At 44.8% G+C, this 15132-nt stretch overlaps 1 protein-coding gene across 6 annotated transcripts in view; it reads right to left on the bottom strand.

The window, feature by feature from the left end:
* The window catches only part of CAMKMT (calmodulin-lysine N-methyltransferase), a 410646-nt gene that overhangs the window by 9031 nt on the left and 386483 nt on the right, over nucleotides 1–15132 (bottom strand). For all 6 annotated transcript variants that reach the window (NM_024766.5, XM_047445878.1, XM_017004982.3 and 3 more), the window contains one exon: nucleotides 9444–9507. In NM_024766.5, the coding sequence (NP_079042.1) occupies nucleotides 9444–9507 (64 nt within the window). The remainder of the gene's footprint in view (nucleotides 1–9443; nucleotides 9508–15132) is intronic.

Raw genomic sequence — 15132 nt, 5'->3', positions numbered from 1 at the left:
CTCTGGCTGGAATGCATACTCCGTGACAACAGGATCTTCTAATGTTTTATTCACTACGTTTTCTCAGTGCCTAGCACATAGTAAGCACTCAGTCAATATTTGATGAGACAATAAACTAAATCCAGAAGTTGAGTAATCTAAAGAATTTGAGTCTTTGGGAATTCAAAAGCCACGTTCTATTGCTTATTCCTTTGAAAAGATTTTCCCGAGAAGCTTTTACAGAGTCAGCTGCTATGATGGGGTTTTAGAGAGCAGCATTCTGTGCACAACACTGTACCCACGAGAAAGAGAAAGACTGGGCAGTAGTTTTAATCTCTAACTACTTAGGAGTTTTGTTTTCTTTTTCAGTTCATTGAATACAGACACCTTTGAGAGGTGGATTAATAGTTAGGATGGAAAAGAGCCCATCATCCATTCATTCACTGAGCCCTACTGAGTGCCAGCATCTCCCCCTCCCCATAATGAATGGGTTTAGACCCCAGTATCCCCAGGGGAGAGAACACGTCACAGGGGGAACAGTACCATCAGAGGGATATGCTTTACGATTTCAGCTGCACAAATCAAAACCAGAAAAGGAATATGGATTTCAAATTAGCCCATCACTTTAGAAAAATTATTTTCAATTTGCCAAAGCACAACTTTCTAAGCATTCCGTTGCAGAATTATTTTAAACGCAGAATGAATACTCAATTGAATGTAACACTTTGACTGATGAGCAGAAATTTAAGAGAATTCATTTATTCCTGGAGAGGAGAGGGAGAAGTTCCACTAAACCACAGAGATACTGCTTACCTTGTGAGCTCAGTTGTTGTTATTTTGCTAGACTAATCTATACTTACACATTAAAGGGAGTGTACTTCTGGAAAAAATTGGTATGCTTCAGATTTATTTTTATTTTATTTTTTATTATACTTTAAGTTTTAGAGTACATGTGGCACAACGTGCAGGTTTGTTACATATGTATACATGTGCCATGTTGGTGTGCTGCACCCATTAACTTGTCATTTAACATTAGGTATATCTCCTAATGCTATCCCTCCCCACTCCCCCCAGCTTCAGATTTATTTTAAAAGGAATATGCTATGCCAATAAAATGCATTAGGGGAGGAAGACCAAGACAGAGGAAGCACTAGTCTCACATTTAGTTTGTTCCTTTTTCACTTCCTAGCAACCAAACTATTAAATACCAATTCTATGTTTAAGCTTATGCTGATTTTCTATTTCTTTGTTGTCATTTATAAAGACGAGGTCTTGTTATGCTGCCCAGGCTGCTCTTGAACTCTTGGCCTCAAGCGATTCTCCCACCTTGGTCTCCCAAAGTGTTGGGATTACAGATGTGAGCCACTGTGTCCAGCCTATTTTCTTTACCTGGTTTCTGAAATGCAGCTTTCACTTGCTTCCTCTCCTGGCATCTCTCTCAGTCTCTCTGTCTCCTTTTGTAGCTTCTCTTCTCTGACCTGTCTTTTAATTGTCAGTGGTCCTCAGGGCTCTGCCTACTTTTTCATCACGTTCCATCTAATTCTTGGCAATTGTACTGATGTCCATGGCTTCAGCTATCACTTATAGACCAATAACTCCCAAGTCTATAACTATAGCTTTCACCATTGCCCAGGGCTCACACCTACATTTTCAAGTGCCTACTACATCTCTGCATGTGGGTATTCTGAAAATACCTTTAATCCATTTTGTCCAAAATAAAACTCAATATTCTTGACTGCTAACCCCTACCCTTCCCAGGGAAGGATCCATCAAATGCAGCACACACACACGCATACACTCAGATATGCAAGCTGAGTACCTCTTAGGTACCAAGCACTTCCGTATCTGTCACTTTCGAAATAAAGCTGGAAACTTGGGAAACATGGCATTGCCCTTCAAGACCTCTCAGTGCCACATCCCCCTACCTGCATCACTGTCACTTACTGCAGGTGGTTCTCAAACTGTGTTCTGAATTGCTTCAGGGGTGGCCTGGAGGGATAAGAGGAAGACCAAGACAGAGGAAGTACCAGTCTCACATTTAGTTTAACTAAAGCTGCATCATTTTTATCTGTTTTGTAATTGGGGTGCTGGCTAAAAAATTTTGACCAAAACATTCTGCCATTTAAACAGGGTTTGAAAACCTTGACTTAGGTCCCACCTTCTTGGTATGGCAGGCAAAGCCCCACGTGACCGGCCCCATGCCTTTATCGCAGCCTGGTCTCCTGCCACTCCCTCATACACATCTTGGGCTCTAGTCAGGCCAACCTCATCACATCCCCCATCTGTTCTTTTATGTATCCTGTGTGTTCAAACATGCACATGCTCCCCTTGAGTGGAATGCCTCTCTCACCTCCAGTTCTCTGTCTGCCTGGTTACTCTTACTCATCCCTCAGCACCCAGGTTAGACTCCCTGCCCTTGTGACGCCTTTGCTGACTTCTCTGGCCTCCCTACTGTGCCTCCTCCCCAGTTGGCCACCTCCACTCCCTGCCCCCAAGGGTTGCCCACACCTCTGCTGTGCCAATCACACACCACCAGGTGATCGTCCCTTGCTTGTCTCTAGACTGTAAGCCCCTCCAGTGTAGAGTTAGGTCATATCTAACTCTATCCCCGGGGCCTGGCACAGTGACTGGCATCTGAGAGGCACTCAATAAATGTTTGCTGAGTGGAACGCTCAGTGAATATCCATTCATTGTCCTCTTCTCCATTTTCAGGTCTTCACTAGCTCCTAAATGGATGATTCCAGGTGGATATTGGTCCACACTGGACCTCTGAGGAGCTTCATTGCTTTCAAGCTCTCCCTTACTCCAATCTACCCTTTATGCTATGGGCAGAGTGATCTTTCTAGAAGGTACACCTGACCACACCACTGCTCAAAAACTTTCAATGGCTCTCCGTTACCCATACAGTAGAGCCTGGTCTCTTCATCACAATGTTCTTGGCCATTCCTAACTCTTTTTTTTTTTTTTTTTTTGAGATGGAATCTCGCTCTGTTGCCCAGTCTGGAGTGCAGTGGTGCAATCTCCGCTCACTGCAAGCTCCACCTCCCGGGTTCACACCATTCTCCTGCCTCAGCCTCCTGAGTAGCTGAGACTACAGGCACCCGCCATAATGCCCGGCTAATTTTTTGTATTTTTTAGTAGAGACGGGGTTTCACTGTGTTAGCCAGGATGGTCTCGATGGCCATTCATAACTCTTTAACTTCATCTTCCTGCCCTTCCCCAACCCTAACCTCAAAACCACAGACACTCTCACACTCCAGCCAGAGCAAACTTCTTGTTGATCCCAAAACACACCATGATTTTTCTTACTCCACACACTCAAAGTGCCCTTCTTACTATTTAAGACCAAAGTCAGACACCACTGCCTCTAGGGAAACCTTCCTCAGGCAGTCACTCTTGGTGCTTTCTCCTGGTACCTCTTTCCTGGCACCCACCATATTGCACTGTAATTCCTGGGAGTTCATGTGTTCATCTGTCCTGCTAAACTATGAGATTCCCACAGTGCTCCTAGTGCATATTCATTCTCCTAGCCCACATTCCTCAGCGCATAGGAATGGCGTCAGTGCCAAGCAGATAGCAGTTGCTCAACAAATGTTTGTTGAATCAGGACAGAGTCCAATACTAAGGCGTAAATTCGAAAGATTCACAAAACAAATAAAAATAGCACTGGGCTGTATTTTACATTGTCTGCTATAGTTCTACCTGTGTGTATGTTATATCTCCACAACCAGACTGCAACGTCTTTGGGGGCAGAGATTCTACCTCATGTCTTGGTATTCTCTGCTAAGCACACATTACTGTATGTGCTGAACAGCATCTGGGTAGATATTAGAAAAGGACTTCTCAGGGCTGGGCCCCTGCACTGAGGGTCTTAAAACCATCTGAGGACTCTCTATAAGCTACAACCCTTGTGTCAAGGGGAATCCTACAACTGTAGGAGCTAACTTCTCACCAAGCACTGGTGAGGAGTCGCTGGGTCTCTGACTCAGTAAGCAGATAAGAACCCAAGTGTCTCAGCACCATTTCAGTTCACGGTACTGATCCCACATACACAAGGCAATTTCCCTGAAACAAGCAAACAAAAAGGTTTGTACAGAAGTGGGCAGAGATGTTAGACTTTTTTTAAAAAAAAAGATGAGAAAGTATCTGAGCAAAAAGAACTTGGCTGGGCATAGTGGCTCATGCCTGTCATCCCAGCACTTTGGGAGGCCAAGGAGGAGGATTGCTTGAGCCCAGGAGTTCAAGACCAGCCTGGGCAACATGGCAAAAGCCCATCTCTAAAAATACAAAAATTAGCCAGGCATGGTGGTGCATGCCTGTAGTCCTAGCTATTTGAGAGGCTGAGGCAGGAGGATCACCTGAGTCCAGGAGTTTGTGGCTTCAGTGAGCAGTGATGGTGCCACTGTACTCTAGCCTGGTGACCAAGTGAGACCCTGTCCTCCCCCCCAAAAAATTGCTTTTATAATATGAGAGTTTATGATTTACATTTATAGCACACCTTGGAGATAGGCAGGACTCTGGGAATCTGGTGATCGGGTAGGGCCAATTTCTGAAGAAGGTTAAGTGAATTCCACAGTGATATTTCTGAATTCTTGACAGTTGGTTAGCAGTGGTAACAAGCTGGATTACTGTCAATATTCTATCCTCTGGTCCTGAGTAAACTCATGCTGTCTGGTTGGCTTGGCTCCCCTCCCTGTACCCAAAGTCATTTCAGAGGAATATTAGTAGATACCATTTGTTGGTTGTCATTTCTGGACGAAAGTTCAACTTGCAGGCTGCTGCGCCTATATTTTAAATTACGTTTGGGTCCTCTGATACTGGACACTGCTGTTGTCATGGACTTTTAAGGAATACAATGACAGTGAGTCACCCTATCAATCATCAGCAACAACAAGCCACTCACCAGAGGGAAAAGTGAGTGGGGGGTTGAGGGGGACATTGCTTCTTGGAATGCGTAAAATGTGCTGATTTCATTCCTTTTTCATGCCTATTCTATTGTTTTCATCTATTAAGTTTGCTGGAGAGTCCCTTGTAGTGTTATGACAGGAGTTAACTATCTTTACAGTTTCTTTAGACTAGCAGGTTGAGGAAAGCCTGCATTTCAGGTGGTAACAAATATTCCCTGCTAAAATTTGGGGCCTCCTGTAAAGACTTTTCAGGCACAGGTGCCTGTTTGGTTGAGAATCTAAGCTCAGCCTGGGATCTGACATCACCCCTGGGCCAAGCAAGGAGCCCACCCTGGTGGCTAAGGTCTCTCTGGGGACCTCTCTTCATTCATAGCTCCAGTATAGAAAATGAAAGGCAGGGAAACTCCCCCTCTCCATCTACTTTCTTTGCTTCTGGACCCTCTGACTCCAGACAACTGATTTGCTCAAGGTAGAAATCAACCATACTCCCCTAGATGGCAGAATTCATTTGTTCCCACAGCTTGACACTTGAACCTTCATTTTGCAGTTACTTCTGTCTTGCCAATGTAGAGTACTCTCCCCCACTCCGTGGGGACCGTCTATAGTAAAGTGTCATCTTCATCCAGGTAGGCAATCCTCCCAGAACCAGTACAGGGCCTGCTACAGGTGTTCAGGATACATGTGCAGGGGAGATGCAGTGTGCCAATTATGTGCAGAAATTCTCAAAGTCCAGGTCAAGAAAATCATGTCTTCCCCTCCCACCAGCATTTCTCCAGGAAAATGCTTGGAAAAAGGCCCCCATAAGGCCGAGCGTGGTGGCTCATGCCTGTAATCCCAGCACTTTGGTAGGCCAAGGGGTCGGGGCAGGGGTGGATCACGAGGTCAGGAGTTCGAGACCAGCCTGATCAACATAGGTGAAACCCCATCTCTACCAAAAATAGAAAAATTAGCTAGCATGGTGGTGCGTGTCTGTAATCCCAGCTACTCAGGAGGCCCAGGCAGGAGAATTGCTTGAACCTGGGAGGCGGAAGTTGCAATAAGCTGAGATTGCACCACTGCACTCCAGCCTGGGTGACAGAGCGAGACTCCATCTCAAAAAAAAAAAAAAAGCCCCCATAGTCTGTATTTACCAAAGTAACCAGAGCTAGCCTTGAATAGATACTCAGAGCCAATCATGTGCATTACAGTGCATCAGCTTTTTCACTCCCCATTTTACAGATGAGAAACTGAGGCTTCCAGACATTAATTCAGTCAGTGGCAGAGACCAGATTTGGGCCTAAGCTTTCTGCCTCCACAGCCCATGTATACCTTCTCTCTGCGAGGAGAATGCAGGATTTCAGAGCTGATAGAACTCTATGAGAGCACAGGTGAACTCCCTCATTTTCCCTCTTTGGGGATAATGGAGCAAGAGGCGGTTCCAGAGCCTGTTAGGGCCACACTAGGCCTGGAACTCAGGCATCCCATCAGCCAAGCCAGCATCCCCCTGGATAAACATCTCATGTGGATTAACCTTGATAAGTTCTACAGCAATAAAAGAGAAGCAGCTCCCCTTAAGGAGCACCTCCTGTAAGCCAGGCACAGATCAAGGATTTATACATATGTAAATATTTCACACCAATCCACAAGGTGGGCACTAGCCTTGCCTTTTGACACGTGAGGAAATGCAGGCTCAGAGAGACAAGGTAGTTAATGTAGACTTGGGGTTTGTATGCAGATTTTTCTGACTCTTTCCACCCACTACACTAGACCTTCAGAAACTGGGGCCACACTATGAACTTGAAGCATTTGCTGGAAGTGCAGTGTTTGCATTTGCTGGAAGTGCACGGAGAACTTGCTGTATCTTGCACTGAATCATCAAGAACTCAGGATCCACCATGTAGCCCCTGTGTTGTTTCTTTGTGGGCTTCTTTTTCTTTTTCTTTTTTTTTTTTTTTGAGACAGAGTCTTGCTCTGTCGCCCAGGCCAGAATGCAGTGACGTGATCTCGGCTCACTGCAAGCTCCGCCTCCAGGGTTCACGCCATTCTCCTGCCTCAGCCTCCCGAGTAGCTGGGACTACAGGCGCCCGCCACCACGCCTGGCTAATTTTTTTGTATTTTCAGTAGAGACGGGGTTTCACCATATTAGCCAGGATGGTCTCGATCTCCTGACCTTGTGATCCGCCCGCCTCGGCCTCCCAAAGTGCTGGGATTACAAGTGTGAGCCACTGTGCCCGGCCATCTTTGTGGGCTTCTTGTGACACCTTCAGCCTCTGGGCCACAAAACCATGGAGTTGTTGTCTGGGCTCAAGAGGACACTAAAACCAGCTCTAATTGTAATGAAATAAAACCTTGACCATTTTCTTAGTCTTGGACTGTATACTCAGAGGGGGAGGTCCTCCAGAAGCCAAACAGCCAGCCCTGAGAGCTAAGAAGAAAAGTCCAGTTTTCTACTGGTTGCTCCCATGCTCTGGACAGCCTCCTAGCCCATCAACACAGGATGTGGGACTGGGCTCTTCACTGGCAAGCCCACATGGTCCTTCTGTGGTCCATTTGGGTGGAGGCTCAGGGAGGACAACTGCCCACTACCCCAGACCTGTTGATGGGGATGAGGTTCCTGGGTGGTAATTTCAGTAAGTCCATGTGCCATCCACAACTGGGATTTCCCCTCTGATGGTGGGCTCCTTACACTTTAGGCTAGAATACCTGGCAGCCTTGAGTATCAGCCATTCCAAGAGGGGCCTAAGTGAGGCCCCCCCACTGCCATTCTAATGCTACAGGTTAGTGTGAGCCCCTCTGACTTGGCCTCCCTGTTCCTCTCATAGCAGGAGTAAGTGCCACCTCCCCTAGGGCCCTGCCTCACCCTTCTCTAGGCTAAGGGTGAGTATCAGCTGTTAGCAGGAGGACTACTGTCCTTGCTCAGAGGGGGCTGCTGCGTGTGGCCACGATTCAGATGGAGGGAGTGTGTTCAGGGTTTATTAGAGGGTACAGAAGAGCTGCTGGATTCCAGTCTAATCTGCGTTTAGGTCTATTCATAGCTTGGGCACTTTTCTATTGTAAATCATGCGAATGATTTACAATAGATCCTAGGTAAATCATGCAAATCTGCTGCAAAATGGAGTATTTGCCACAAATGGGCTTTGAAGGGGTATTGGTGATGAGTGAAGTACTATTTGTACAGTGTGAGATTCAGGAGTCCTTGAAAGCATTATATTTATGTATGATACATTTTCATAGAGGCCTTCATATTCAAGAATCTTGAGCCGCCCCTGAAAATCCTAGTCTTGCAAATGCCCACAAGAATCACCCAAGGCCGACAGGGGTGGGGGGATGCTGAAACCCAAAATTCCTTCTTCTGTCCTCAACTTGGGTGGCCTATTCAACCATGCAGTGGCCGTCAATAGCTTGGAACATGCCCCTTCCTTGCCTCAAGATCTGGTGCCCATTTCACAGGGGAACTGAGGAGGCCAATTGAATTGGACTGACTACCACTTACGAAGCTATGGCTACTCCTCCAAGACACCTGTTTTAAGTTTCTGAGCTACATAGAGATAGCAAAATAAAAAGCAACAGTGTATGGCAAAGGATGATTATCAGATTGCTCTGGGAACCACTGAAGGTTATAAAAAAGATATAAAAGAAAGGTTGAAAGGTATTGGTCTGTAAGTCTCACTGAGTCAGAAGACTAGAGTGGACCTTTTTAAAAAAATACTTTAGAAACACACACACACTTCAGTGTTCTCAGATAAATATGCGTTCCTATCTTCGACTGTATTAATACTGTTAACCTATTTTAAACTCCTATGGCACAGCAAGAGTCTTACATAGTTATAAGGTTTTTTTTTTTTTAATGCATGAGCTTTAAACTCATTTTCTTACTTTAAATAGATGTATATTAACTCTCCGTTTAGGCTGCAGGACCTCCTAGCTTAGTTTAACAGTCCAACAAAATAAGAGTGGATACAAACTCTGTAATTTACTCACCGGCATAAATGGATATATAAATGTAAAAATGTGCACAATATTTTATGCCATGCTTGGCTTCATTGTGACCTAATGTTTATAATATGTAAATAATGACTTCCTTTTAAAGCAAAGAACTATTAATATACAGATTCATCTGAAGTCCTTTTTCTTTAATATAAACAGAAATAAAAAGAAAAAAGTATTATTTTGCAATAAATAAATAACCAATGAGAAAGGTTGCCATTGAAGGAATTGAAAATGACAGAAGTCAACAGAAAACTTTCAATATCATACTTCAACTTTAATATGAAGATATTGTTATCAAGGGAAAAGACTCAAGAAATTCTTTGATAAAAATAACCTCACACTATCTTTGAAGCGGCTGCATTTATTTCACTACCCACTGTGTTTCTTATCAGAAGGCCAAGGGTAAGAAGTTTCCTAGTTATGATTAGGAAAGAATCTAATAGATCAGAAGACCCAATTGAAGTTGGACATAATAAGTATTAAAGTATTACATGACATTAATCCTGCCATTCCATTACTCTCTCCATCTTTGTGCACAGACTAATTATTCTGTAGCCAGTGTTCAGGAGAAAATAGAAACATACTTACCCTGGGCTGGAGTAATCTCTTTATTGCATCAACAAGGCTGGCTCTGTACTGGTCCAGAAACAGGCTGACATTGAGAAGAGAGCAGAATCCAGATTAAACTGGGTTTTCAAGTCTAATGATACTAATGGAGATAAGTACAAGGCTAATTACACATGTTTACCCAACGCTAAAAAAGAGAAATTGTTTCCTACCATTCAAGTGTCTCACTGGAGGGGGTGGGAGGGGAGAAGATATTGTGGTCAGTGTTATCCAACTAAAGCCAAGTTGTCAACATGCAATGGGCCAGGATTCACACGTGACTGGGCCATGTGTTAATGTTACAGGGACAATTTCCAAACTGCTGTTTGGGGTAGCCATCTGGTTGAGATGAAGCACTCTGGCAACTTCCTGTCATTAGAGCCTAGTCTCCCTTAGACCTGGGCCCTCTGCCCACCAAGGGTGCTGTGTGGCTGCCCTCAGACCACAAACCACCAGCCCTATGACACCCAAACCATGAAATATATCTCAGGAGGTAATAGAGTTTAGTGACTAGAAACAGCACTGAGGTTAGATTCAACGTCTGACTTAGGAGTGAACAGCTACAAAAACAAAGAACAATCTCAGACAATATATCACAGAGACCATGGCAACTTTGGATTTTCCTCTCTGGGCCTCTACATTGATTTTTTGTTTTTTTTCTTTTCTTTGTTTTCTTTCTTTCTTTTTTTTTTTTTGTTTCTGAGACAGGATTTTGCACTGTCATCCAGTTACTGCAGCCTCAAATGCCAGGGCTCAAGCAATCCTCCCACCCCAGCCTCCCAAGTAGCTGGGACTACAGTTGTGCACCACCATGCCCAGCTAGTTCTTTTTTTTTTTTTTTTTTTTTTTTTGTAGGGACAGGGTCTCACTCTGTTGCCAGGGCTGGTCTTGAACTACTGGGCTCAAGCAGTCTTCCTGCCTCAACCTCCCAAAGTGCTGGGATTACAGGCACATGCCACTGTACCCAACCCAGGTTCATGTTTTTATAGTTCATTTTGATTTTTCATTTTCCATCCCTGATCTTTAGAGAATTTCTGTTCATGCAGCTCTGTCACCCCTTTGCTTGGGTCAGTCTGACTCTGTCTTCACCAGTTATTATCTTGGAAGCTTGAGACAGTTTCCTTATCTGAACTTGCAGGTCGCAGACCTTTGAGTTTGGGTTGCTTGGCAGTAGGTGGCAAGTTACTTAACTTGGCCATGCCTGATGCTATGGTCTGAATGTTTCCCCCAAATTCATGTGTTGGAGACTTAATCCCCAATGCAACAGTATTGAGAGGTGGGGAGTTTGGCTCCTTTTTGCCCTCCTGCCTTCTGCCATGTGAGGACACGTGTTCTTCTTCTCCAGAGGATGCAGCATTCTAGGTGTCATCTTGGCAGAAGAGACCAGATGCTCACCAGACACCAACCTGCCCGTGCCTTGATCTTGGATTTACCAGCCTCTGGAACTGTGAGAATTACATTTCTGTTCTTTATCAATGACCCAATCTGTGGTATTCTGTTATAGCAGCAGAAAATGGACGAAGACAGCTGGAAGTTTATTAAAACCAAGGAAAGGATTCTGTGGGTGGGGTTAGGGTGGGGACAGGTGAAAGCATATTGTGCCGAAGGCATGCAGAACAGAGCTGGCTGCCAAACACCAGGAGAGTTGTCCAGCCTCTGCAGAAGGGCTCCTGGGCATTGCTAGAGCACTCTGCCAAGAGAAAGCAAAGCTGCTAGAGGCTGCCAATGATACCTATTGATAGGGACTTTTTTTCTGAACCCCATATTGGGATACGTGATCTGATATTATGTTGGTGCAAAAGTAATTGCGGTTTTTGCCATGCCATACCTTTAATGGCAAAAACCGCAATTACTTTTGCACCAACATAGTAACTATGAACTGAGGTCATAATAACTGAGCTTAGAAAGTACAGCTGAATCTCTGAAATCTGAACAGTACTGGAATATCCAGGATGCCAAAACCATGGGGCCCAAATTGTATATACAGCACCGAAAAGCAGTGATACTGTTCGGATGTTTCTCCCCTCCAAATCTTGTGTTGAAATGTGATCCCCAGTGTTGGAGGTGGGGCCTAGTGGGAGGTATTGGGTCATAGGGGCGGATCCTTCATCCTTGTCTTGGTGAACTCCCCGTGGTAATGAGCTCACGTGAGATCTGGTTGGTTGAAAGAACCTCCTGTTTCTCTCTATTGCTCCTTCTCTCTCACCATGTGACTGCCTGCTTCCCCTGTGCCTTCTGCCATAAGGCAACTTCCTGAGGTCTTCACCAGAAGCAGATGCCAGCAATATGCTTCCTGCACAGCCTGCAGAACCATAAGCCAATTAAATCTCATGTCTTTATAAATTACCTAGCTTCAGGTGTACCTTTGTAGCAGCGCAAGATGGACTAATACAAGCAGTAAAGAGATAAGGAAGAAGGGGGCACTATGCCTGTCCTTACGGAGGTTACAGTATAACAGGGAGGTAAGCCAGGCACAAGGACACGTGTTAAATACAAATGGCAGAGACACACACGTCTTAATAACAAAACAGTTAATACTCACTGAGCTGAGTACTAGCTAACAGGTACCTTCTAAGAGGTTTTCATAGCTCATTTAATCCTCACATCAATCCTATGAGGTAGTTTTTACTGTTAGCATTATTATTATTGTCCACATTTTACAGCTAAGGAAATGGAGGCACAGAGAGGTTTGGAGTCACACAGCTACTAATTGGCAGGGCTGGGATTCACCTCTGTACCATATTGGCTTCAGAGTCTGTGCTCTGAGCCACTGCTTGGTACTGCCTCTCACATCTAATTGTAATTACTCCTGAGCATGAAATAATGTACGGAAGAGAGCACTGACTGGTTTAGGCAAAAGACGGAGGTCATCAGATGACTAGAGTTAGGCGGGGTTGGTCGAGAAAGCCATCCCTGTTTACTTGCATCCATAGTGATCTCTCCCTTTTCCAAGCTCAGTACAAGAAGTAGAGAATTTGGAGGTTCTCCCAGGTCCCTGCATTTCATTGTTGTCCTCTCATTCAGCTGTCCTCTCATTCAGCTGCTATGCTTCTTGAAGGCAGAGAGCATCTGCATTTCTTTTTTTTTTGAGACCGAGTCTCACTCTGTTGCCCAGGCTGGAGTGCAGTGGCACAATCTTGACTCACTGCAACCTCCACCTCCTGGGTTCAAGCGATTCTCCTGCCTCAGCCTCCCAAGTAGCTGGGATTACAGACATGCGCCATCATGCCCAGCTAATTTTTGTATTTTAGTAGAGGCAGGGTTTCACCATGTTGGCCAGGTTGGTCTCAAACTCCTGACCTCAGGTGATCTGCCCACCTCAGTCTCCCAAATTGTTGGGATTATAGGCGTGAGCCACCGTGCCCGGCCTCATCTTTGCATTTCTTTGCCTCTCTCATAACATTTGGAAAACAGCTGAGGACACAGTAGACGAAAACGTTGATTCCTGGGGAAGAACAGCCGTGCTGTAGAGGTAGTCACTATAGTGATAGTGTATGGCTTGAGGAGTGTATGAGACATACATCTTCAGCTTTAGAGCCATCAGTTCTAGGCTGTGTCTTTTGCAAAGCAATAAATAAATAAAAGGACTGTCTTCTACTTAATAAAAATTGACAACGATGTCTTTTTAAAAAGCAGGGACAGCAGACAGGGCACGGTGGCTCAAACCTGTAATCCCAGCACTTTGGGAGACCAAGGTGGGTGGATCATCTGAGGTCAGGAGTTCAAGGCCAGCCTGACCAACATAGTGAAATCTCAACTCTACTAAAAATACAAAAATTAGCCAGGCGTGGTGGTGTGTGCCTGTAATCCCAGCTACTTGGGAGGCTGAGGCAGGAGGGTCGCTTGAACCTTGGAGGCGGAGGCGGAGGCTGCAGTGGGCTGAGATCGTGACATTGCATTCTGGCCTGGGTGACAGAGTGAGACTTTGTCTTGAGAGAGAGAGAAAAAAAAAAAGCAGTGACAGCAAAACTACTTTTGAAACCTCTTAACCCATAACAGCATTTCAAATACGTTTGTTTGGAAAGTAATATGGAAAACTGTTCCATTCACAACTTGAATTTCTTCTCTAACGGTGAGTCCCTTACCTTAAGCTAGAACACTCAGCAACCTTGTGCATCAGCCATCTCCATGAGGGGCCTAAGTAAGGCCCCCTACTCCCATTTCTAATGCTGCAGGTCAGACCCTTCTGATTTGGCCTCCTGTCTCTTCACACAGCAAGAGTAAGCACCACCTACTCTAGGGCCCTGCATCATTCTTTTTAGCTAAGGGTGGGTATCAGCTGTCAGTGGGAGGGCTGCTGTCCTCGCTCAGAGGGGGCTGTTGCGTGGAGCTGTACTTCAGACAAGGGAGGAACTTGGTTCAGGGTTTTAAAGAGCTCTGGCTTTGATGTTGCTGCTGTGTGACTTTGGGCAGGTCACTTCATGTGAAGCCTCAGTTTCCTTGTCAATAAACACCCACCTATATGACTATGTGGACATCAAATTAATAAGATATGTTAGTTGATAAAGGTTTGTTGAGCATCTACTATATACTAAGGGCAAATTTAGGAACTGGGGATGAGCTATGAATAAGACAAAGTTCCCATTCTCAAGGAGCTTCCATTCTGTCTTCATTTTGCTTTACTATTAATAGTTCCAGCACAGCGTACACACAGACTGGCAGTTACTTGTGGACAGACTGGCAGATCATCACAGTCCTTGGAATTGAGGAGCTTATGTAGGGTGTTAGTTTCAATGTCCCTAAAGTGGGTAGTACACACTCCTTTACTGATACTGTCAAGGATGAACCAACTTTCAGGTAGGATATTTCAACAGACTAGGTTCTCTTCCGATCTGATGATTTTCTCCTCTGAGGAGAGCAGCTTATAAGAAGTTTCCAAAAAGTCATTGCTTGAGTGTCTTTGGTCATCACAGGTTCCATGGAAGGTTCTTCTATGGAAGGTCACTTTGAGCAATGGGAAAAGAATCCTCAGATGAGCTAGAAACCACGTCCAGAATGGAACCTCATCCCATTCCATCCATCACTCATGATGACCTGATTATTACCCATGGAAAGACTTTATCTTTCCCAAAACTACATTCTCAAATCTTGGAGCACAGAATGTATGTAAATTAAGTGCTACACAAACTTGCCATTAAGTCATATTAAACAGTAATTAATAACCATTAAGAATTAACGAGAAAGGAATCAAACTATAAGTATGTCTTTAAAATATTCGCTCTTCAGGACTCTCTATTTTATTCCTTAGTGAGGCAATAATATCTTGAGCGATCTTGGCTCACTGCAAGCTCCGCCTCCCGGGTTCATGCCATTCTCCTGCCTCAGTCTCCCGAGTAGCTGGGACTACAGGTGCCCACCACCATGCCCATCTAATTTTTTTTTTATTATTTTTAGTAGAGATGGGGTTTCACCGTGTTAGCCAGGATGGTCTCGATCTCCTGACCTCATGATCTGCCCGCCTCGGCCTCCCAAAGTGCTGGGACTACAGGCATGAGCCACCGCGTCTGGCCCAATATCTTGAGTTTTAATAATTAAGCATTCTGGATTTTTAAAAGAAGATTATGATTGTAGGAAAATATCTCTGTCAGTTACCCAGGCCTACGGGAAACCTGGCTGGTTGGGACATGCGGCATTTAAGCAAAGGACCACACTCGGTTTATATCTGTGCATC

This window comes from Homo sapiens, chromosome 2 (assembly GCF_000001405.40).
Source record: "Homo sapiens chromosome 2, GRCh38.p14 Primary Assembly".
In the NCBI taxonomy this organism is placed as follows: domain Eukaryota; kingdom Metazoa; phylum Chordata; class Mammalia; order Primates; family Hominidae; genus Homo; species Homo sapiens.
Note: the sequence above shows the minus strand (reverse complement) of the source record. Positions and strands in the feature narration are given on the sequence as shown.